Below are 26,043 nucleotides of genomic sequence, written 5' to 3' on the forward strand. Positions count from 1 at the left end.
CGGAAGCCAGGGAATGCTTTCTCGGAGGAAATATTGTCTGAGTGCCAACCTGAAGGTCACACAGAGCAAACTAGGAGAAGGTGAAGAAGAGAAGGCTTTGTTACAGAGGCAGGTGCAGGAACAGGAGGTGACAGAGGTGACAGAACATAGTGGTTCAGAGATCTGATTATAGAGTTGTGGGAGGGCCTGAGGAAAAACTGCAAGAGATAAGGCTGAAGGGGTAAACCAGGGCTCTATCTCAGGAAGCTAGATTTAGATCATCTCTCAAGGGTAAAGGGTAGCCACTGAAGGTTTGTGTTTTAGAAAGATCACTGTTGTATGTTTTTGAAGGATAGCTTAGATAACTGCTGCAGTCAGGCAAAAAAAAAAAAAAGTCCTGAAATAAAGTAACAGGACAGAGAGAAGGGACAGTTGTGGGGAAAGAATGATAATCTAGTAGATTTGGGAGACAAGGGAAAGGAAAAAGTGAGCCAGGGAACGTGGGAAGAGGACTGGGTTTTGGGGGGTGGGGAACATTACATTTCAGGGTCCTTCCTTGTAAGGGACTTAGATACAAAGGTCTGATGTTCAGGAAAGTGGTTGAGATCACTTAAAGAGTTTAGAGTAGTCGCCGCTCATGTGCGGTTTCATGTCCTGTGGTTTCAGTTACTCATTGTACAATACCATAATGTATTTTGAGAGATAAATATTCACATAACTTTTATTACAGTATATTGTTATAACTGTTCTATTTTATTATCAGTTATTGTTGTTATTAATCTCTTACTGTGCCTAATTTCTGAACTAAGCTTTATCATAGGTACGTACGTGTAGGAAAAAGAAGGTGCATAGGGTTCAGTACTATCCGAGGTTGCAGGCATCCACTGGGGATCTTGGAATGCGTCTTTGTGGATAAGGGGGGACTATTGTATATATAGTGAGAAGAGAACCTAGGATGGAACCTGAAAATCACCAACATTTGAAAGATAGGCAGAAGAGAAGTTCATAAAGAAACCCGGAAGAATGGACAGAGAGGTAGGAGGAGAGCTGGGAAGAAAGAGCAGGAAGGCAGCCGAGAAAAGGGAGTGTTTCGGTAAGTGTTGGCAGTATCACATGCAGCTGCAGCGGCATAAGCTCAAAGGCTAGACGATAACAGTGGGTTAAGGATACTGAGGTGAGGAATTTGAGAGATCCAAATGCAGGCAACTCGAGTTTGGCTGAGAAAAGAAAAGAGAGATGGGTAGTAGCTGGAGGGGATGTGGGTTTCAGAAGGTACATATGTATACATGTACAGATAAGAGACTTAGGCATCCTTAACTGCTGAAGGAAAGACACCAGCAGACAAGTGGAGGCCAGATGCATAGGCCAAATAAACAGTGGAACAAGGCCCATAAGGTTCCTGGAGAGGAGGCAGGTGTGACCCACAGCACAGCTGGCACGCTGATTTTCAGTCAAGAGGAAAAGCAATGAGAATGGCTGTGGAGGAAGGGATTATGTTTAGTGCTGCAGAGGTCAACTGACAAATTGTTATTATTATTATTTTTGAGACGGAGTCTCGCTCTGTCGCCCAGGCTGGAGTGCAGTGGCGCGATCTCGGCTCACTGTAAGCTCCGCCTCCCGGGTTCACGCCATTCTCCTGCCTCAGCCTCCCGAGTAGCTGGGACTACAGGCGCCCGACACCATGTCCGGCTAATTTTTTGTATTTTTAGTAGAGATGGGGTTTCACCGTGTTAGCCAGGATGGTCTTAATCTCCTGACCTCGTGATCTGCCCGCCTCAGCCTCCCAAAGTGTTGGGATTACAGGCGTGAGCCACCGCGCCCAGCCCAAATGACAAATTATTAAGCACCAGCCCCTCTGTTAGGTTCCAGGACATACTGTCAAGAAAAAAAGATACTGTTTTCTGCCTCCATGGAGCTCTTTGAAAGGAATGTGCACAGAGTCTTTTTGTATATGGGGAAGTCAAAGACTACTTTTAAACCGTCTGTTCTCCAAGGGGAAAAGTACTTATCTGCCTGCTTCTAGATTCATAATCCACGAAGTGGAAAAAGTCACTAGACTTTGGTGAAAAGAATTACCAAGTCACAGAGAAAAACGCCATTATTTCCACTGACATAGTGAAAGGTCAGAATATGCCTTATACTGAGAATAAAAGATTTCAAAAATTAGTTGGATATTTGAAGGAAAAAAAAATCAGAAAACAGGAATATAAATACTCTTTTGATTCACAGATATTTATGATAGCACCACTAATAATACTGATATTTACCATATCCATATTTCATAAATTTGTGATGTTTAAAAAGATTTACACAGTAAGAAAAAGTCAAGAAGTCTAGTATACCTCTAGTCGTACCTGAAACACAAATGGAACACCAACATTTCTCAAAATATTTGGAACTTACTATCCCTACCAATATAGGGATGTTATAGAGGCAGGGGTATCAACAATAACATTGACAAATAATAGCAGCTAAACTTTTTGAGTGTTTATTGTGTATTAGGGCCTACTATGGTCTATCTACATTAATTCCTCTAATTTTAACAATAACCTTAAGGTAATGTGATAGGCAGAATAATGGTACTCCAAAGATGTCCATGTCCTACTTTCCAGAGCCTGCTGAATATACTGCCAAAAAGGACTTGGCAGATGTCATTAAAGATCTCAAGATGGGTAGAGTATCTTGCAATATCCAGGTGGGGCTAACGTAATCACAAAGCTCCCCATAGGAGAAAGAGGAAGGCAGTATGCATTAGTGCCAGTGATTTGAAGATGCAACACTACTGGCTTTGGGTATGGAGGAAAGGGCCATGAGCCAAGGAAGATATGCAGCCTCAAGAAGCTGGAAAAGGTAAGGGGATGGATTCTCCCCAAAGCCTCCAAAAAGGAAGGTAGGCTTGCTGACAACTTGATTTTAGTTCAGTGAAACACAGTTCAGGCTTCCAACCTCTAGAACTGTAAGAGAATAAATCTGTGTTGTGTTAAGCCACTAAGTTTATGTTAATTTGTCACAGCAGTGATAGGAAACTTACATAGGTTAGTTTTACAGACATGGAGAATGAGGCTTAACAGAAGTGAAATAACTTTTCCAAAATTACTGTAGATAGTTGAAGAGATTTGCATTTTATGGATTATTTTCTTTTTTGAAGTAGGAGGGAAGGTTAACTACTGAGAACTGGAAACTGGGAAAGTAGAAAGGGTATTAAATAGTTCTTATGAAGAAAGAGAACTTCTGGTATAGTAAGTAAAATGTGTATTTACAACACACTGAAGTATTTAGAGATGATGGATTAGCCTTAAAATACTCTAGGGGGAGGATGGGTAGTAGGTGGTGGTATGGGTGAAATAAAATTGGGCATATAATGATATTTTTGAAGTTGGGTATGGGCACAAGAATTTTATGTTATTTGTTCTTGTTTTTTTTTTTTCTTTTTTCTTTTTTGACAGTCTCATTCTGTTGCCTAGGCTGCAGTGCAGTGGTGTGATCATGGCTCACTGCAGCCTCTACCTCCCCAGGCTCAGGTGATTCTCCACCTCAGCCTCCCGGGTAGCTCGGGTACAGGTGCACACCACCACACCCAGGTAATTTTTGTATTTTTTGTAGAGATGGGGTTTCAGCACGTTGCCCAGGCTGGTCTCAAACTCCTGGGCTCAAGAGATCCTCCTGCCTCGACCTCCCAAAGTGCTGGGGTTACAAGCATAAACCACTGTGCCCATCCAAGGAGTTTTATTATACTGATTTATACTTTCATAGATTTTGCAAATTTTTAAAAAGTTAAAAAAATCAAGATAAAGAGCAATAAATGACACACCAGATACACTGATAAAAGCCATGAAGTAAAATGGACAAAAACAAACTTCAAATAAAGCAAAACCAATAAAAATGCAAGGAGAGCTTCCAGTTTCTGGTCTGAATGTAAAGTTCCTTAATGTTGTCACTCTAGTTCTCATAATAAGAAAAAAGCAAAGAAACAGAAAATCAACAACTTTTCTTAGATCTTTCAGAGAACTAAGGTCACAGGACAAACTGCTACTTTGCAAACTGGAGAGACAGACAGGTGGAAACAGAGTCACAGCTTACAAGAAGCAGAAGCCCAAGAGCAGAAGATCAAAGATGGAGCCAATACAGGTAGGAAGACTTAACTGAAAAACTGCTGGAGGCTCAGTGTAGACTAGCTTCAGTGTTCAAAACTCCAAGGGTTCAGGGCAGGGGGGAACCCTCACACTTACACTTTTGTTGAGTTTTACCTCCAGGAATTCCACCAGATTCTCACTGTGAAGACTGGAGAAAAATACCTTTATGTTTCCAGCAGAAGCATGAGAAGGTAACCATTCTGAAATATGCCCAGAGCTCTCTGTTCTCCCTAACAGCCTGCCTTCAAAGAAAACTTCTACTACAGCTTAACTGACTTGGGTTTAACAAAAGCCTAACTGACCTGGGGAAAGGGAAATACTCAACTTCAGCTCCCTCTCATCCTCCTATCTCACCTAAGAAGACAGGGAAGCTGAGAAGCACTTGTGAAGGTCACAGCCCAGGGACACAGGTTCACTAAAAGAGTGAGACCTAATGACAAGATGACAGAACACTTTTCCTATTCCAGTACTTCATCAACTGGGCTCCTGTATAACAGGGAATTACAGCCCAAAGCACTGTAATCATTATCTTTCATTTAAGAAGGAGTCTGTAGCGAAACCGACACACCAGAGGAGACAAAAACAAGGACACTAGAGGAAATAATTGCCTCCAACACAACAGCTACTGTGAACAGTATATACAGCCTAATTCCCAGTCAGATCAACCTTAAAACTTCCACAGTAAAGGTCTACCTTAGTTCCCTTTGCTTAATACATCATATCCAGCTTTCAATAAAAAATTACAGGGCATGCAGAAAGGCAAAAGACAAAACAAAACAAAATGTCCGAAGAGACAAAGGAAGTATCAAAACAAGACTTATATATAGCAGGCATTTTGGAATGATCAGACCAGGAATTTAAAATAACTATGATTAACATGCTAAGGGTGCTAATGGAAAAAAGCAGACAACATACAAGAAGAGATGGTTAATGTAAGCAGAGAGATAGAAACTAAGAATCAAAACGAAATAGAAATAAAAAAACTGTAATAAATGAAGAATGCCTTGATGGACTCATTGGTAGATTGGACATGACCTAAGAAAGAATCAGTTAAGCTTGAAGATGCCAAAGGTGTAAATACACGTAGTAGGAATACAAGAAGAAGAAAGAGAGAAAGGCAAAAGAATAAATATTTGAAGTAATAATGATTGAGCAATTTCCAAAATTCATGACAGACCTCAAGCCACAGAACCAGGAAGCTCAGAGAACACCAAGCAGGATAAATATTGAAAAAATCTATACCCAAGCATATCATATTCGAACCGCAAAAAATCAAAAACGAAGAGAAAATCTTGAAACAAGCCAGAAAAAAGAAATGGAAGAAAATATGACTTGGATTCCATATAAAACTGTGATATAATTTAAAAAAGCTCATTTGAGGTTGAAGACCATGAATTAGGGTGATATGGTTTGGCTGTGTCCACACCCAAATCTCACATTGAATTGTAATCCCCATAATCCCCACATGTCATGGGAGGGACCTGGTGGAAGGTAACTGAATCACAGGAGCGGTTTCCCCCATGGTGTTCTAGTGACAGTGAATTCTCAGGAGATCTGATGGTTTTATAAGCATCTGGCATTTCCCCTGCTGGCACTCATTCTCCTGCTGCCCTGTGAAGAGGTGCCTTCCACCATGATTGTAAGTTTCCTGAATCCTCCCCAGCCATGCAGAACTGTGAGCCAATTAAACCTCTTTTCTTTATAAATTACCCAGTCATGGGTATTTCTTCATAGCAGCATGAGAACGGACTAATACAGAGGGGTAGTGCCAATACGCAGAGCTACAGGTTTTTCTTCAGAAATGCCCAGTATACTAGGCATAGGAGGGAATAAGAGATAGCTGGACTAACCCAGGGTTGAAATTTTCCCAGGCAGGTACACTGGAAAGTCAGTGCTTTATAGGAGTTAAAGGTACTGGCAGAAGTAATGTTGGTGTGTGGTAACTAAATAAGGAGGTGGGCAAAGACAATACTGGGCTGATACAGGTCAAGAGACTAATGGTTTTAAAGTGGAACAGGTATAATTAGAGTAACAGAGTGGGAGGGCTGGAAAATAGGCTGTGGTCAGAGTTGGATAAATGAAATTAGGGTTTCAAAAGTGAAACCATTCTGGTAGATAAGGTCCAGGTTATGGCCATGGGAGTGAATAGCTAAAACTGAATATGAATAAAACACTCTGAAGTTTTCAAAATGGAGATGAAGGAATATGGGTGGGATCGGTTCATGAGCTCAGTAATTTTTTCCTCTTTCTATACACCTGATAGTCTGCCTATCAGGTGTGACAGAACACATAACCAGCAGAAGAGCTATTCAACTCATGAATTAACTCAAGTGGTAAAGAATACTATATGGGATGTATATTTTCTCTCTCAGTTTCACACTGGGTCACATCCAATATAACACTTTTTACTATGATCTGATGTCAAAGGAATATGAAGAAGAACTACTTTTTCAAGAAGTAAATAATTTCGCAAGTGGGCATACATTTGACATTTGTGATACTGGGTAAGTACACTGTGCATTTGTTTACATGCTGATAAAATTGTGATCTATGATATCAGTAAAATATCAGAGAGAAGGAAAATGATATGGTGAAGGGCAGCTTAACAGGATCTTAATTTCAAAGAAAGTCATGAATGAATGGGAGGCAGATACATTATCTGCAGAAAAGCCCAAAGGTGCTGGGCGGTAATGGTAATCATTATAAAGGCAGCTCTGCATGTTGGACTTTACTTATGTGACTTTCCAAATGATTCTGTTCACTGTAAGATAGAAGTGGCTTAATATTTTAAGATAAGGAGACAGGAAGCCTTATGGATCTTAGAAGTGTCACCTACCTGGCCAGGTGTGGTGGCTCATGCCTGTAATCCCAGCACTTTGGGAGGCTGAGGCAGGCGGATCACGAGGTCAGGAGATCGAGACCATCCTGGCTAACACGGTAAAACCCCGTCTCTACTAAAAATACAAAAAATTAGCCGGGCATGGTGGCAGGCACCTGTAGTCCCAGCTACTCGGGAGGCTGAGGCAGGAGAATGGCGTGAGCCCCGGAGGCGGAGCTTGCAGTGAGCCGAGATCGCGCCACTGCACTGCAGCCTGGGGGACAGAGTGAGACTCCATCTCAAAAAAAAAAAAAAAAAAAAAAAGTGTCACCTGCCTTGGCTATACAGCCCTTCCTATCAAACTTTCACCTAGAACTTGTAAGTAAAATCAGTGGTTTCAAATATAACTTTTTAAAGTTATTACATGGCCACCATGTAATAATCAAAGAGCCACAGAATGGAGATATGGTTAGTTAGAGGGAGAAATGTAGGTCTGAATGTTTCACAAAGTGGGTAGATAATACCTGAATAACCAAGTTAATCTTTAGGCTGATGAATCCCATCCACAGTTTTACAGTGATATAAAAGTATATGGGTTGGACCAAACATTCACATGCATGCTGCAGTGACTGTGGTGACGCCTCATCCAGATCTTCTCTTCAGGACCTACACACTTATTCCCTGAGCTGGCCTGTGTTGGCTGCTAACAGCTCACAGCAGGGTTCCTACCTGGAGATTGTTCTTAGCCAAAGAGAGCTGCCTCATATAAACGTTAACACTTTCCTGGCGGCCTGTCTGGATGTGATGTGTGATTGATGCAAGAGTTCAAAAGCCGCGCCCCTCTGGCTCAGTTCGGGCCACATTTGAAGGATCATCCTAGCTCCAGAGCTCCCCATGCATCTTCTCCTTCTGCCACTGCTGCTTTCTTCACTACTTCAGAGGTGTTGCCCCCAGTTTGAGTCTAGATTATATCCCTGTGTCAGGGTCTGTTTCTACACTTCTTAAATATGGGAAGTTTCCCAACTATACATAAAATATTGTCAATGTAATGTTTAATGACACTGTTAAGAAAATGAGACAATAATGAGAACACCTAGTTTGTATTGCAGTTCCACTATTTAACAGCTCCATGACTTTGGATAATTTAACTTCTCTGAGTCTCAGTTTCCTTGTCTTTAAATAGGGGCTAATTTCTTATGAAACAAGGATTACTACAAAGACCCCAAACAGTTCCCTGTACACACACACAAACACATGCATGCTTTTAAATACAATATTCTTATTACAGTTTACATGAATTGGTCTGTCAAAAACTAATTATTTTCACATTTGTTATTTCACTGAAACATTCTATTAGACAGCAAGTCAATATTAAGACTACACACAAAAAAGTCACTAATTGCCTACTATATGCTTGTCTCTGCGACCTATACCAGGTACACAAGATGACATGGTTCTTGACTTCAGGGGGTTACAGTCTCGTGTGGAGAGGCATCTAATCTAAACAAGTGTAATGAAATATTATAAATGCCAAAATGTCTTAAAATAATTGGAGGGGTGGTCATTCTGCTAAGGATATCAGAAAAGGCTTCATAAAGACGACCGTTCAGGTAAGACATTTTTTTAGGAAAGGTACTTTACTTTCAGCACAGTTTTCTTGAGTAATGAAGGATTCTTTAATCACTGCCAGATAATAATGATATTTGATAATCTATAACAACTATTTTGTGTGTGTCTACTTATACATAGAATTTTCATAGACATATTTATAACAGATATAAATTTACTTACTGTTATCTTACGAGGACAGTCATTAGAACACAGACCACTAAGAACTGTGGAAAAATAAACAGGCAATTATTACTATTATAAGTTTATATTTAAAGTGAGCTCTAATTTTCTCCCTAAGATCCATTAATATACTCTATTGATTCATAATCACAAGCAGAAACCAATTCAATTTCTTTAGATCTGAGCAAATTAAAGTTCTGTTGTTCACTTTATACCAATATTTCAAAAGCCTTTATTAAACTGTCAAGATGCTACTATTTTGTGAACTATATAGGTGAGATAAATTATGATTATATCATACCATACCTAAAATAGAACCTGTTGGTTCTATTTTCCAATTAGTTAGCTAAATTCCAAGGATGACTTAGATTCTGACAGAGGGGTGCCAAATGAGAACCAACTAAAATGTATACTAAGAAAAACATCTACATTCAGTACTTTATATCTCAAACTAGACTTTTTTCATTCATGTAATTCTGGGTCAAAGATTTTGGGTACCCTTGATAGCTAATATAGAGAGCATAACTATAAAATAATTGATGAGTCTACAACAAATATACAAAATAATGATAAATTTATTGTATAACCAGCAAAAAGAGGTTAAAATATCTGAACAATCTTTATCTAAATAATATGAGTTCTGAAATAAAACCATATTTCTACCACTTTTGGTGAAGTGATACCTTTGATAAGAAAGCAGACATTATATGCTATCATTTTAAAATGCTATATGTTATAAGATAAAGAAAGAGAGCTGATAGTTCTCAGTGGGCACAAATTATTTTCTTAGTTATGAATATTTGTCTGTAGATTAAAATATATCCAGAAGAAAATGGTTTCTTTTGTTTGTTTATATTACATGACTATGGAATGACAATCATTCTAATATAAATGTTTGACTTAGGCAGGGTGTAATGATTTGAATGTTGCTATCCCCCCAAATTCATGTCTTGGAACCTAATAACCAACGTGACAGTGTTAAGAGGTGGGGCCTTTGTGAAGACAGTAAGTCACGATGGCTCCATCCTCATGAATGGGATTAATGCCTTGACAAAAGAGGCTCCAGTAATTTCTTTTGACCCCTTCTGCCATGTGAGGACGTGGCAACAAGGTGCCATTTTTGAAGTAGAGGTGAGACCTTACCAGACACTGAATTTGCCAGTGCCTTGATCTTGGACTTCCCAGCCTCAAGAACTGCGAGCAATAAATTTCTGTTGTTTATAAATTACCCTAAGGTTTTTTTTTTTTTCTTTTTGAGACAGTCTCTTGCTCTGTCGCCAGGCTGGAGTGCAGTGGCACGATCTTGGCTCACTGCAACCTCCACCTCCTGGGTTCAAGCGATTCTCCTGCCTCAGCCTCCCTAGTAGCTGGGACTACAGGTGCACGCCACCACACCCAGCTAATTTTTGTATTTTTAGTAGAGACGGGGTTTCACCATGCTGGCCAGGATGGTCTCAATCTCTTGACCTTGTGATCCGCCTGCCTCGGCCTCCCAAAGTGCTGGGATTACAGGTGTGAGCCACTGGGTCTGGCCAGATATTTTTTTTATATTAATAGCAGCCTAAATGGACTAAGATACAGAGTATGTAAGGTAAAAGGCACCAAGAAATAAACATGATATATTTCATCACAAAAGAGAATACCTGTTCATTTACTATAGAATATTTACATTAAATACAACTTGAGGAAACAGTGAAATAAATATTTTACACTTGCAAGCAGTTTTCAATGTTTAAATTTCCTACCCCAGCAGAATGCCTGGTTCTCACTCTTTTATTATGAAAACCCTAACTTCTCACTCTCCTTTTATCTTCTTCCCTAAAGTTTAGGTAGATATTGGTACTTCTTTTCCAACTGTTCCAAAATGATTTGCATAAGCCTTCATTTAAACCATTATCTTGCTGACCCACAGTTACTGATGCACACATATGTCTTTGCACGCAGATGTTACCTCTGCATCATTCTGTCCTTATTTTCTCAGGGTCTCACCCAACATATTTGCTCAATAAATACTTGTTAAAGGAGGAAAAAAGATGGCTTATTCAGGCTAGGCACAGTGGCTCATGCCTGTAATCCCAGCACTTTGGGAAGCTGAGGTGGGTGGATCACTTGAGCTCAGGAGTTTGAGACCAGCCTGGACAACATGGAGAAACCCTGTCTACCAGAAAAAAAAAAAAAAAAAATTAGCCAGATGTGGTGACACACGTCTGTGGTCTCAGCTACTCAGGAGGCTGAGGGAGAAGGATCACTTGAGCCGGGAAGCAGAGGCTGCAGTGATCTGAGATCACGCTACTGCACTCCAGCCTTGGTGACAGATGGAGATCCTGTCTCAAAAAAAAAAAAAAAAAAAAAAAGATGGATTATTCAATAAGTGGTGCTGGATAATTGGTTACTTGGAAAAAAATAAAGTTAGAGTTTACCTCCCTACGTAAAATGTATATTTGACAAAGACATAATAATAAAAGAACTCTTAAACTTGAACAATAAAAAGACAACCCAGATGACAAATAGGAAAAGGATCTGAATAGGTATTTCTCCAAAGAAGATATACAGATGGCCACTGAGCTCATGAAAAGATGCGCAACATCATTAACCATCAGAAAAATATACAGCAGAATCATTATGAGATGCATGCCCATGTTCATGGCAGCGTTAGTCACAACAGCCAAGAGGCGGAAGCAAGCCAAATGTCCACTGACAGATGAATGAATAAAATATGGTAAATACATAAAATGGAGTATTATTCAGCCTTAAAAAGGAAGGAAATCTTGTCACATATTACAATATGGATGAACCCTGAAGGCATTATGTTAGGATAAATAAGCAGTCATTTATTGTATAATTTCATTTAATGAGTTATCTAAAGTAGTCAAATTCACAGAGACAAAGTAGAATGGTGCTTAGTGGGGAGTAGGGGAAAGGGAAAAAAGGGAGCTGTTTAATGGGTATAGAGTTTCAGCTTTGCAAGAAGAAAAAGTTCTGGAGATGTGTTTCACAACAATGCAAATATACATAACTCCACTGAACTATACCTTAAAAATGGTTAAGATGGCAAATTTTATGTGACACGTTTTTACCACAATTTAAATCATGGTTAAGATGGTAAAAAAAAAAAAAAACTCACAATGAGTTAACATTTTATACACACTAAGATGGTTATAATAAAACAGTCCAAGAATAACAAATATTGTTGAAGATGTGAAGAAATTGGAACTCTCATACATTTCTGATGGAAATGTGGAATGGTGCAGCTGCTTTGGAAAACAATCTGGCAATTCCTTAAAAGGCTGAACATAAAGTTCTCCTTTGACCCAGTAATTCATTTCCAGCTATATTCCAAGAAAAACAAAGAAACATATATCCAAACAGAAATGTGTACATCAGTGTTCATAGCAGTATTATTCATAATAGCCAAAAGGTGGAAACCATCCAAATGTCCATCAAATGATGACTGGATAAACAAAATCTGGAATATACATGCAACAGAATATTATTTGGCAATTAAAAGGAATAAAGTACTGACGCATATTATAACATGGATGAATCTTGAAAACATTATGCTAAGTGTAAGAAGCCAGTCACACATAACCATATATTATATGACCCCATTTATATGAAATGTCCAGAATAGGCAAATCGATGGATACATAAAGTAGATGAGTGGTTGCCTGGAGCTGGGGGATGATGGGGGACTAAGAGTGACAGACAAGGCCGGGCGCGGTGGCTCATGCCTGTAATCCCAGCACTTTGGGAGGCCAAGGCAGGCGGATCACGAGGTCAGGAAATCGAGACCATCCTGGCTAACACAGTGAAACCCCGTCTCTACTAAAAATACAAAAATTAGCTGGGCGTGGAGGCAGGTGCCTGTAGTCCCAGCTACTTGAGAGGCTGAGGCAGGAGAATGGCGTGAACCTGGGAGGCGGAGCTTGCAGTGAGCTGAGATCGCGCCACTGCTCTCCAGCCTGGGTGACAGAGCAAGACTCCGTCTCAAAAAAAAAAAAAAAGAAAAAGAAAAGAGTGACAGACAATAGGTACAGGGTTTCTTTCGGTGGTGATGACTATATTCTCAAATGATTGCAGTGATGGTTGCACAACGCTGAGAATATGCTAAAGCCATTAAATTGTATACTTCAAATGGGTCATGATGCGGTATGTGAATTACATCTCAATAAAGCTGTTACAAAATAAGAAAGATACCATAAAATTTTAAAAGACTAGTGACAAAGGGGGTGAACTTTTTGTAATATAACAGTATAAAGAGATACTATTGCTAATATAAAAAGAACTTCTAGATATCAGTTAGAAAATAATCCAACAGAAAACAAAGGATTTCAAGAAGCAATATCTGGAAGAGAAAATGCAAATAATCAAAAAAAAAAACACTGAGAAAGACACTCAACTGCACCAGTTAGGAAAAAACCAATTTTATTCCCAAGAGATAGGTGAAAAAGAAAAGCATGATAAAATTGTCTGTAAGGAAAATAATAAATATATTATCACAAAGGGCTCTTTAATACATACTACAGTACATTTTATAAATCAATTAGAAAATAAGAAAGGACAAGGACTATAGATAGAAATAAAGATACAAATGCCTCTTAAATATATGAAAAAATGCTGAACTTCATTCATTATAAGAACAATATGAAATAAAAACAGGACATATTTTTCACCTAACTGGCAAAGATCAAAAAGTTTAATAACCCCTTGGGTTGGTGAAGGTGTTAGGAAAAGAGCATTTTCATATATATACTGTAGGTCGAAGTAGAAAATTATACAATTTCTGTGAAGGGACATCTGTTAAAAAATACAATATAAAGTTCAAAACAAGGGAGAATTAATCTGTGGTATTGGAAATTACAATAGCAATTACTTCAGGTGAACTGGGTTAGTAACTAATAAGGGGGCTGGAGGGCACATTTTGGATGTTGGTAGCATGTTTCTGGATCTGCGTGTAATTGCATGGGTACGTTTACTGTGTTAAAATTTATAGAGCTGTGCACTTATGTATACTTTTCTATATGTTATATTTCAATAAAATGTTTATTTAAAAATATATATGTATTCTTTAACAATTCCATTTTTAATAATTTATCCTACAGGATATTCATTACAGCACTATTCATAATAAGAGATTGAAAACCACATGATATATGTGAATAAGGAACTCATTAAATTATGTTGTAACCATACTATATGATACTATTCAGTAGTTAAAGAAGTTTAAATTGCTTCTTTAACTACTGAATATATTCTAGATTATACATATATATACATATATGCATAAAATATCTTAGATACAAAGTGGTTGTCTCTGGGAAGAGAATTGTATCACTGGGAGATGAGTAAAAGGGAGACCTACTTTTATCATATACTCTTGTAGTTTTTAATAGACCATCTGCATTACTTATTTTAAAAACAAATTCACTAGTGAAATAAAAATTAAGAACTCTCAGATGAGTATGTGGTAAACTAGATAGTGTCATATGCTGGTGAAAATATAAATCCCTACAACTTTCAGGGAAGATAATTTGTTATTATTGATTAACATTAAAAACACAGTCTCTTCAACTCATGTCTATGAAATACTGGAAACCAGATAAATATCCACTGAGAGATAAAAAGTGAAATAAATTGTGGAACATATATAACATTATGGAATGATATGGAGGTATCAGAAGAATGAGGGAGGCCTGTAAGTGCTGACTTGAAAGGGGGCTTATACTTTGTTAAGGTAAAAAAACCAAGATGCATGCAAATATGTTTCATAAAGTTCCATTTAAAAGTATGTGTTGGGCTGGGCATAGTGGCTCACTCCTGTAATCCAGCACTATGGGAGGCCAAGGTGGGTGGATTAGGAATTCGAGACCAGCCTGGCCAACATGGTGAAACTCCGTTTGTACTAAAAATACAAAAATCAGCCGGGAGTGGTGGCAGGTGCCTGTAATCCTAGCTACTCGGGAGGCTGGGGCAGGAGGATCGCTTGAACCTGGGAGGCGGAAGTTGCAGTGAGCTGAGATTGCACCACTGGACTCCAGCCTGGGCGATAAAGGGAGACTCTGTCTCTAAATAAATAAATGTGTTGGATGAATCTCAGACATAGTGTTGAGCAAAAGAAGCCAGGTGCCAAGAGCACATCCTGTATGATTTCATTTACATCATGTTCAAAAACAGGGCCTTATGCATCTCTTCCATCTGGATGTTTGCCTGTATCCTTTGTAATACCTTTTATAATAAGCAGGTAAACGTAAGTAAAGTGTTTCCTTGAGTTCTGTGAGCTGCTCTAGCAAATCAAACCCGAGGAGGGGGTCATGGGAACCCTGATTCATGGCCAGTTAGTCAGAAGTACAGGTCCTGACCTGGGACTTGTGATTGGCATCTGCAATGTGGGGCAATCTTGAGGGGCTGAGCCCTCAACCTATGGGATCTGACAGATTATCTCTAGGTAGATAGTGTCAGAATTGATTGATTGGTTGGTGTACGGAGGGGGAAGGCAGAATCCCTACATATTTTGGTGACCAGAGATAAAATATTCTGTGTTGTAGTGACTGTGTGAGAGTAGACGAAACAAAGTTTGGTTTTGTCCTGTCTCTTATGTTATGCATAATTGCATGGTATTCCATCTTTTGTGTGTGTGTGTGTGTGTGTGTGTGTGTGTGTGTGTGTGTGTGTGTGTGTGTGTGTGTATTTACCCCTCTGTATGTTATGGACTGAATGAGTACCCCCTCCCTCAAAGTCATATGTTGAAGCCCTAACCCCCAATGTGGCTGTTCTTGGAGACAGGGCCTCTAAGGAAGCAATTAAGGTTAAATGAGGTCACAGGGAGAGGATCAGTGTCTCCTAATAAGTGAGCTTGCTGCTTCTCTCTACATGCACATGAAAAGAACATGTGAGAGCACACTGAGATGGCAGCCACCTAGAAACCAGGAGATGAGGCTGCTCAGAGTGCATCTACCTTCCCAGCACTTTGATCTTTAACTTCCTAGCTTCTAAAACTGTGAGAAATAAATTTCTGTTAAGACACTCAGCCTGCGGTATTTTGTTATGGAAGCCTGAGCAGACTAATACACATACATACTTCCTTTTAAAAAACATTTTTAGGCCGGGTGCGGTGGCTCATGCCTGTAATCCCAGCACTTTGGGAGGCTGAGGCGGGTGGACCACCTAAGGTCAGGAGTTCAAGACCAGCCTTGCCAACATGGTGAAACCCCGTCTCTACTAAAAATACAAAAAAATTAGCCAGGCATGGTGGTGTGTGCCTGTAATACCAGCTACTAGGGAGGCTGACACAGGGGAATCTCTTGAACCCAGGAGGTGGAGGTTGCAGTGAGCTGAGATCATGCCATTGCATTCCAGCATGGGCAACAAGAGCAAAACTCTGTCTCAAAAAAAAAAAAATTATGTAGATGAAATCATACTACATACTATTGTGTAATTCCCCCACACTTATTACTTCAACCCATAATTGCATGGTATTCCATTTACGTGTGTGTGTATTTACCCCTTCTTTTTATTAGGATGTTTAGGTTCTTCCCCTCCTCATACCCCAATTTTTTTTCCTCCTAAAAACACCATTGGCAAGATCAGCTTTATGGACCTGGTACATTTATACACAGATCTTTGGCACATCTCTGACAATTTCCTTGGAATAAATGTATAGAACAGAATTTCTGGGTTCAATCTGAAAGCTTTTGATATACACAATGAAACTATTCTCCAGAAAAGACTATCAAACATCTAAAAAGACCATTTATTTATCTTCTGGTAAGTGCCAAGCTGTGAACACATGAATTTTCTTTTACAAATAGTCTTCCTTAATCTTCATATCAAGACTGTGAAGTAATTCTAATTGTCCCCTGCCTCCTCCTTTTTTTTTTTTTAAATGAAGAGGAAACTGAAGAACTGAAGATTCGGACCATACTCACGGTCACAAGGTGAATGGAACTCTTTTGCAAGACTATGTGGCCACTGCTTTCAACAAGCAACAAGAAACTAACTCATTTAAGGAACACATTATCCTACGATGATAGGAGATGAGAAATCGATGAACTATTGGGTTATTTTCTGTATAAGATAAAATGTCTGTGTCTTGGTTAGCATAGTCTAGAGTATTTACTAATATATCACATAATCACATTAGTATTAATCACATAATACAATTCAAAAATCATGTAATAGTTTCTTCCATTTTGTGTACAATAAGCTAAAAACTTGGTTCTTGCATCTGTTTTTGTTTTTTCACAAGACCTCCTGTCAAATTTGAAGTTTCACATTATAACATTAGGATCACATGATAAGACTTAAATGTAACCTTAACTTTGCCACATCTTTTCTCCACTAAGAAATTTTATACAATAAAGTCAAACTAGGTATTAAACATGAAAAAATATGATACATATTTGCCATAGATATGTGTTATAAAAAGGGGTGTCTACATAATACAAATAGAGTATGCATTTCCTTGGTTTTTGCAACCACAGATTCAAGGAGAAACAATACTAACCCTTGATTAATTATCATGCTGGTTCATAATATTGTTTAATTAGGAATTCTGAACTCTCTACATAATATTATAAAGGTTTATCTGTGTCCACTCAGAAATTATTTTACCTACAGAACTTGACCTTTTCCCAGTGACATCTATACGGCTATGCAGCAGGTGAGGCTGACTCAGACTGCGTGGGTTCTGGGCTCTGCTAGCTATGTATGTTTGATGTAAGGTAGGAAAATATGTCTTTAGCTACATTCAGTAATGATACTGCTTTTGTTAAGGAGTGCTACAGAAGGATGAAATTTTACTTTTAGCTTTGGTTTTACCACTCAAATCCTCTGTGACCCACCCTTTAGTTTTCTTTTTTGAGACAGTCTCACTCTGTTGCCCACGCTGAAATGCAGTGGCACCATCTTGGCACACTGCAACCTCTACCTCCTGTGATTTTCGTGCCTCAGCCTCCCAAGTAGCTGGGATTACAGGCGCCTGCCACCACACCTGTATTTTTAGTAGTGATGGGGTTTCACCATGTTGACCAGGCTGGTCTCGAACTTGGGGCCTCAAGTGATTCGCCTGCCTTGACCTCCCAAACTGCTGGGATTCCAGGTGTGAGCCACCACGCATGGCCTAGTTTTCTTATAAGAAAAAAAGAGGACACCCACCCTCATACTTACTATCTTCTTCCCCTCTTGAGTTAATGAAATTTGAAAATGTCTGAAAAACATTAGGTTTCTTGAAATTTACAGACCATATAAAGAAAATTTTTATTCTCATTTTTTCCCCTCTTATTGCTCAATATATTAAAGGGACAGACTCATCAGGAATATGGTTTCAATCACAGTTTATTACAATTAGATGTAAATTCTTCATGAAAGGCAGAACTGATTTAAATATGGCTGGAAAACACAACAGAGTGTAAGTTTTATATGTATGTTAGTAGTTCATCTTCTGTTATTAATAATCTGCTACTACAGAAACTAAGTCTTTAGGTCATGAGTGTTGATAAGGGTAAACCTCAAGGCAAATATCTGACACCAATGCTGGCTCAAAGCTGTAAGTGCCACTCCTTTCAAGCTTCCTATTCATTTGGCACAGAAAATCTCAAGCAGGGCCACGTCTTGCTGTGTTAGCTAATGAAAGATGTGATCATGGGCAAATCACTTCACCTCTCTCTCTTTTATGGTTTTACAAAAACATTTAAAGTAAGAGAGTTGGATGAAATAATTTATAAGGTTTATAAAAACCTCTAAACTGGAGTTTTTATAAACCTTATAAATTATTTCATAATTCTTTGATTCCAAACCGGGATCTATATTGTTATCTAGTAGTTTCAGGTGCTTAATACTCACCCTAGCTCAGAGGGAAGTAGCCTGGGTTTAAAGGGCTCTTTGTGTAAGTTTGCTCACATGTGACAAAATTATCTAGAGAACAAAGCCTTGAATAGTCTGGGTCTGAATGAACGAGGCTGGATCATGGATGATGCATCCTCTCAATGTCAGAAATGCAGAGCAGAACCAGAAATGGAACTTGCTACTATGTAAGCTAATTTTCTGCATTCTCTTTTTCCTTACAGCATATGTAACATTACATACATACTCACGTATTTTCATCTAAAACTTAATATAGGATACTATTATAGGAAGCAATTGTGTAAAGCAGAAGGCACATGATAAACAATAAATGTTAGCTATTACTGTTTTGTTTATAAAACAAACTATAGATTCTATCATTCTGGATTTCAGGATTTAGAGGTATCAGCTTTCATTGCTGCAGCTTCTTTCAGTGTGCCTGAAACTTCAGAGACCAGCAGAAGCAGGCAGAGAATGCTCAGTGCTCATGGTGGTTATATCTACTAAGTGGCAAAGAGCACAGCTTTTCTAAAATACTTTTCCTGACTTTCCAAATGTTTTACAATAGGCTCTCTTATTTTTGTAATCAGAAAACAAAACTAAATAAATACTAAACCAAAACCTTACCAATAAAAAAAAGAAATAATGTGTTAAAGTTCTCTGGCATAATCAAAAAAGTAAAAGGATAGACTGATGGTGATTCTACTAATGTCACCCTGAAATTATAATTTAAAAACTCCACAATGTCAAGCTTATGAACAAGTAAAAATTATTTAAAGTAGTCTATTAAATGAGTGCAAATATGTAATTTCCCCAGTGATATCAGAATAAAAATTTCATCACCTGTGCTTCAGTTAGGTTAAAAACAAACACTATTAAATGTGCCAAGGCTGAATTTACTATGATTACAGCAAAAGCCCATTTTTTAAAAGTGAGACAGTTATATTACTGATATAAAAATATAGGTTTATGGGTGAAGTGAAACTTATTTTTTTAAGTAAGTATAATAAATGGGAAGGTATGCTAAAATACATAAAGGGCCCATTATGGAAAAGGGAAATTTAACAGGACAGACACCTGTATGCAATTCTAGCCTTCTACTATTTGTGTTCTTTGCCCCTGTGAGCTTCTTGAAGGCAATAACTGTTTTTGTTTGATTTTTAAGTGTCTCTCTGTATTGCTTAGTTCAAGTGTAACTCTCTCTGTGTTGCTTAGTTCAAGTGTAACTGAATGTTTTTTCACTAGCTAATTTTGGCTAACTCTAGAAGTTTAAGAATTTTTAATAATTTCATAAGCTTTTGTAATTACATATTATTTGTAATCATACTATGGGCTGGGCACAGTGGCTTATGCCTGTAATCCCACCACTTTGGGAGGCCAAAGTGGGCGGATCACTTGAAGTCAGGAGTTTGAGACCAGCCTAGCCAACATAGTGAAACCCCCATCTCTACTAAAAATACAAAAATTAGCTGAGTGTGGGGGTGTATTCCTGTAATCCCAGCTACTTGGGAGGCTGAGGCAGGAGAATTGCTTGAACACAGGAGGCAGAGGTTGTAGTGAGCCAAGATCATGCCACTGCACTCTAGCCTGGGTGACAAAGCGAGACTGTGTCTCAAAAAAGAAAAAGAAATTACAAAAATTCTACACAGGATTATTATAACATTGTGTAATACCCTTTTAAATGAGCTGTTCCAAAAAGTAATTTCTAATACTCCTAGGGACTTTTAAAACCAAATTTGTTTTTAAAGATTAAAAAAATATGAAAACAGCCTATTCACAAATAAAAAGCAGTAATTAAAACACTTGATGAGCTATGTGAAATACTGGTTATTAGGAGATTTAATTTGTAGTTTAAAACATGGACAATGGGATGTGCAATTTGTAAGTTTCTTTTAACATGATAATGCTTAGGATTTTATCATTTCATGTTAAACCATACTGTATGTTACAGTCCATGTATTCTTAAAGATATTTAAAGTATAAAAATTTGGCTTCTAGCATTGTGATTCAGTTTATATTAGCTATTTCACACAAATGTCAAAACCAAAACCCAAATATGGCAATAATCGTGCATAAATACTGTAACACTAAGCCAACGTGCAGGTTGGGAGAAGGATGAGTTAAATAGCCAAAGCTGTAAAGGTCAATACTGTATAATGGTTTTAGTTGTGTTTAAAGTAAAAAATTCCTGCCTGGATTCTGAGTGACTATTCATATTCCTTCTCTGAAAATGTCTTTAAGCTTTGTTTCTTTAAGACATATGAACACAAAAACATTATCACCTCTTTAAAAATTACTCAAGCTTTGAGCACATGTGTAAAATCAAGTACCTGCTTCCAGACATTCTTGTCATTTAGACGACATTATTTTAGATATTCTATGGAAGATTTTTTGGTCTGTTATTGATTACCTATCTTTCATTAATTATTTTATTAAATTGTAAAATCATATGCTCTTTGTAAAAAAATACAGAAACATATTTTTGAAGCAATTTTAATCTTGTTCTTTATGTGTACATATTAAGTATCAAATATGGTAGTTATATAATATATACCTATATAAATATATATACATATATTTCATACACATATAAATTTGTTAAAATTTTTGCTAAAGTCAGGAGCAGTTTGATCTTTAAGAACATATCGAATAAAAAAATGGTAAGTATGTGACATGATGGATATGTTAATTTGTCTGATTTAATAATTTCACAAGGTATACATATACTAAAATATCATATTGTACCCCTTAAATTAAAAAATATTAAACAAGGAATTAAAAAACAGAAAACATATTGGTTCCAGGTCAGTATGTTTGAAATAACTTCTAGGAGACAATTTCAAAAACAAAACATATTATTTACCTTCCTTAATTCCCTAAATGTCACTGCAATGTTCAAAAATAATAAATGACAGATATCTTGAGAAATTCTTAAAGGATACTGAATAGGTGAGTAGGATTGAGAAAGAGCTAATTAGTGTTGAGCAGGTCAGAGAGCTACTGGGGCAATGGGGGTGGACCCCCCAGCAGCTCATTGGGAAACCTTTCAGCTCAGAGCTGCGGCAGCTGAGAGGGGAAACATGCCAGGGCTGAGGAAAGAAGGGGAATGGAGGGTCTCTGGAAAACAGGTTCGAGGCTTGTGACAGGAAAAGCTGCATTTGTTACTTGGTAGTTCTTGGTAGCTAAGTAAAGTGGGGGATTTGCTGGTGCTTCTAGTCAGTGCCCTATATAACTGCACAGTGTTGCCCAAAACACAAACTTTTTAGCATAGAGGATGAAACAACACAAAAAAGCTCAGCAAAGCAGTGAGTTCCTCCCTGTAACATCCTCTCATTACTTCCCACTGGAATGCACAAATGTGTTCAGACTCAGAGAGCCTGTCGACACCCTCGGTTGAGGCCACAGGAGTAAGTCAGGGCTCTTGTGTCTCTTGCTAGTGACTTTCACAGAGAAGGCAGCTGGAGTTCAACTTTAAGGCATCACTTCAGCTCTCCTGTCTGAGAGCCCTCAAGCCACCACTTTGCTCAAATATAGCTTCTACCCCTGGTGGGCTCCCAGCTTGTGAGCCCCAAAGGGGAAAGGAAAAAGGAAGCAGTGGCAATTGTCTGATGGGCAGAAGTATATAGTGACCCACCCCGCCCGCACTACCCACCAACACTGATTCTTTTAAGAAATGTAAGCAGAGAAAACTCCTCATGCACAAGAAGAAAAGCAACAGCTTAAGAGAAGGAAGACTAACAGGAATAATCATATAAATGGCCCCCACCCTAAACAGAACATGCACAGGAACAGGAGGGAATTTCAAAGATGAGCATATTACAGTAGCCCCCACTTATCCAAAGGGACATGTTCCAAGAGCACCAGTGGGTGCCTGAAACTGTGCAGAGCACTGAATCCTAAATATGCTGTTTTTTCCTATATGTACATACCTATGATAAAGTTTAATTTACAAATTAGGCATAGTAAGAGACTAACAACAATAAACTAATAATAAAATAGAACAATTGTAACAATAAACTGTAATAAAAGTTATGTGAATGTAGTTTTTCACTCTGAAAATATTTTCTTGTACTGTACTCACATCTTTTCAGAATACAGTTGACTATGGGTAACTAAAACCACAGAAAGTGAAACTGTGGATAAGTGGGGACTACGCTATATGCAAGAAGAAAATAGAGCAATGTTTATAAAATTCTGTAATAGCGAACTTAGTGTTAACAGTAAGAGCAAGAGAAAGATATTTTAAGACATACTAGTACTCAGAAAATATATTAACCTAAGTACAATTTTTCTGAAAATAACTTGAGAAAATACTTCACCAAAAGAAATAGGGGAAAATGTGGTGTATAAGAAAAAAGGTGGCAATAAGGCTGGTAAAATTTGTTTATTACTGATAATATGGTTGTGAATTATTAAGAAAGGATTTATAAAATGGAAGGCACAAAAAGTAAAACAAAATTAATCATCCAGAAATTAAACTTCCATATTATTTCAACAAAACCCAGAGGCAGGCAAGGGGAATAAAAGCTTTCCCATTAAGTATCTGCTTTTGGAGAAAAAAGAAAAAAGAAAGCTTTCCCAAAGGAAAGGTCTCATCTTGTTTGGTAAACAAAGGTGAAGATACTGTTACAATTTTAAAAGTCCTAGGGGAAACAGGGTTCATCCAGGTTTGTTAGAAATGAGTTAAGTTCTAGACTAGAATTAAGATTCAGAACCTCCAAGTGTATCTGACAGGAATAACAATAAAAGATGAGAGCTAGTAACTAGTCTTGATTCAGGGGAGAGGGGACCCCACAATTCTGTAATACGCAAGGTCCCCGTCTTCATGTAAGTGCTGTGGATCTGCTGTGCTGTGCGTAAGAGAAGCAGAAGGGCAGTTTACATTGCCATGGCCACATATAAAAGCTTAAGTATCCCCAATTTCCTTAACTGAAAAACAGTGGCATTTAGTATAGGCTGGTTTGAGATTAGAGTAACAGAATAATTTAAGAGCAAAATCAGCTGTGGACATTGCCGATGGCTGTGAAGGGTAATTACGTGCTAGTAACTGACTTAAGGCAAACAACCGATAATCAAAGGAAAGAGTGGAAGGGCATCTCAAAACAACTAGAAGGTTATTTTTCTTCCAAATGATTGCTTTAAATTGGGATCTCATTTCCTGTGACCTTTCTGTAAATTACATTATTAATATTTATGTTAATATCTTTAATGCAAAGTTATCCTGTTTTCTAAAACTAAAACCTCCTGCACCAAATTGGCTATCTATGGGTCTCAGCTTGGAGATGTGTGGAGAATCCTCTCCTCAGGATAATGTTACTGAGACTGCAGGGTGACTTGTCCTGATTTAGGGTGGTAAGTTGAAGGCCAGGGATTCTTAAACTCCAGATTAGAGATTCTCAAGACTCTCTTCAGTTTTCTGTTTTAACTTTTTACTACAGAACATTTCAAACAAAAGTATAAACATATATAAAACTGAAAATAGCAGAATGAACCTCACACACATTTCTCACAATTTGAAAAACTGTCAACAACACATGGCCAACCTTGTTTCATGTATACCTAGCTTCCACATCCCTGGATTACTTTAAAGAAGGGCTCAGACATGTCATTTCACTGTCAGGTAGTTTGCTGTCTCACTATTTAATGATGTAAAGGCTACATTTTCCTGAGCAGGACCATGATGTGTTCTGAGTATTCTGTTATTATGATTATAAGTTAGGGCAGTGGTCCCCAACCTTTCTGGCACCACAGATGGGTTTTGCAGAAGAAGGGCAATTTTTTCACAGATGGGGGTTAGATGGGTGATGGTTTCAGGATTGTTCCACCTCAGATCATCAGGCATTAGTTAGATTCTCATAAGGAGCACACAACCTAGATCCCTCACATGTGCAGTTCACAATAGGCGTCGTGCTCCTATGAGAATCTAATGCTACTGCTGCTCTGACAGGAGACAGAGCTCAGGCGGTAATGCCAGTGATGGGGTGTGGCTATAAATACAGGGGAAGCTTTGCTCGCCCTCCGGCCGTTCACCTCCTGTCGTGCGGCCTGGTTCCTAATAGGTCTCAGACTAGTACTGGTCTGCAGCCTGGGGTTTGGGACCCCTGCGTTAGGGTGTGCTTTAACAATAAAAACTAGAGTAATTTTATTGGAACAATTTTTAAAAAATTCAACAGATACCTATAAAGGGCCTACTATACACCAGACATGAGTATCAATGGACAGAACTAACTAAATATGCACATTTTGACTTGAGTTTTCTAACAACTAAACTGATCATAAAAGAAGTCTGTGTTGCATTATGAGGAGGTGAGGTCTCCTTTAGTACAAAGCATTCAAGCAGAAGCTAAGATGTTGCATTAGGTTAGACTTGGGCAAGATGCCTTTTGAGATTTTCCCCATCTCTAATATCTTGTTTTTGTAATTAAAAAAAATGTAAATGAATAAATGCCAAGGAAGAACTTGGGACCCTAAATTATATGCATACATTTTCCCACGTGGATAATTTCTAAATGATCAATATAAAAAAAGTCAGACCTTCTTTTGCCTCACCCTGAGAACTGCCTACTCTCTTTAGCATATTATTATTATTATTATTATTATTACAACTGGGAATTGGAATATCTTATCAATGTTACAAAAACCCTATGCTCTGATTCCCATCCGTTCTACCTGGCTGGGGACCTCTGTGCGAGGGAAGAACTTGCAGACTTGAGCATGGAAAGCAGTGGAGTCGCAGGCCCTCATGCTAGTCAGCAAAACTCACAAGTATAGACAGTTCAATCACATTCTATTTTAAGAGTATAAAACAGAACTTTTAGTATAAAAGTAGTTTCAAGGCTTGAATAAAAGAACTTGCTGAGCACAGGGAGAACTTGATTTGTTTTAACAATATACAGATTAATATCTCTTGCACTTGAAATTTTCCTTAGTACTTAATGCGTAACATCTGTCCTAGAAAGAATTGATCTTTAATCTGTTCAGGTATGCACAGGCACATACCACATTCAGATGAACTAAGTAATAAATCTGTCTTTTTTTTAAGCTTCAGACTTGAGAAAATAGTTCCTTTAAAGTACACTGGCTCCAGCCTGGCCAACATGGCAAAAACTCGTCTCTACTAAAAATACAAAAGATTAGCGAGGCATGGCAGCACATGTCTGTAATCCCAGCTACTTTGGAAGCTGAGGCATGAGAATTGCTTCAACCTGGGAGGCGGAGGGTGCAGTCAGCCAAGATCGCGCCACTGCACTCCAGTCTGGGCAATAGACCGAGACTCTGTCTCAAAAAAGTTTATTGAAGTACACTGGCAAAATTCAAATGAAAGAAGGAAAAATCCCACAGTTATCTCATTAAACAGAAAGAAAACAATATTTTGAAAGAGAATTATTAATTTAAATTTAATGTATATTTTTGAAGCAAATCACACTTATGCTAGGTTGGAGCAAAACAGTTAGTTTTACAGGAGCCCATTAAAATAATGAG

General features: G+C 38.1%; 1 protein-coding gene across 2 annotated transcripts in view, besides 1 other annotated feature; it reads right to left on the bottom strand.

The window, feature by feature from the left end:
• Positions 1-26,043, bottom strand: part of ITFG1 (integrin alpha FG-GAP repeat containing 1) — a 306,856-nt gene that overhangs the window by 74,853 nt on the left and 205,960 nt on the right. For both annotated transcript variants that reach the window (NM_001305002.2, NM_030790.5), the window contains exon 13: positions 8,722-8,765. In NM_001305002.2, the coding sequence (NP_001291931.1) occupies positions 8,722-8,765 (44 nt within the window). The remainder of the gene's footprint in view (positions 1-8,721; positions 8,766-26,043) is intronic.
• Positions 1,182-1,382: a silencer, noted in NCBI's record as "peak2577 fragment used in MPRA reporter construct". NCBI's record gives its function as "represses an SCP1 promoter by STARR-seq MPRAs in K562 erythroleukemia cells {active_cell/tissue: K562}" and the evidence as "EXISTENCE:reporter gene assay evidence [ECO:0000049][PMID:32103011]".

Source organism: Homo sapiens, chromosome 16 (genome assembly GCF_000001405.40).
Source record: "Homo sapiens chromosome 16, GRCh38.p14 Primary Assembly".
Lineage (NCBI taxonomy): Eukaryota > Metazoa > Chordata > Mammalia > Primates > Hominidae > Homo > Homo sapiens.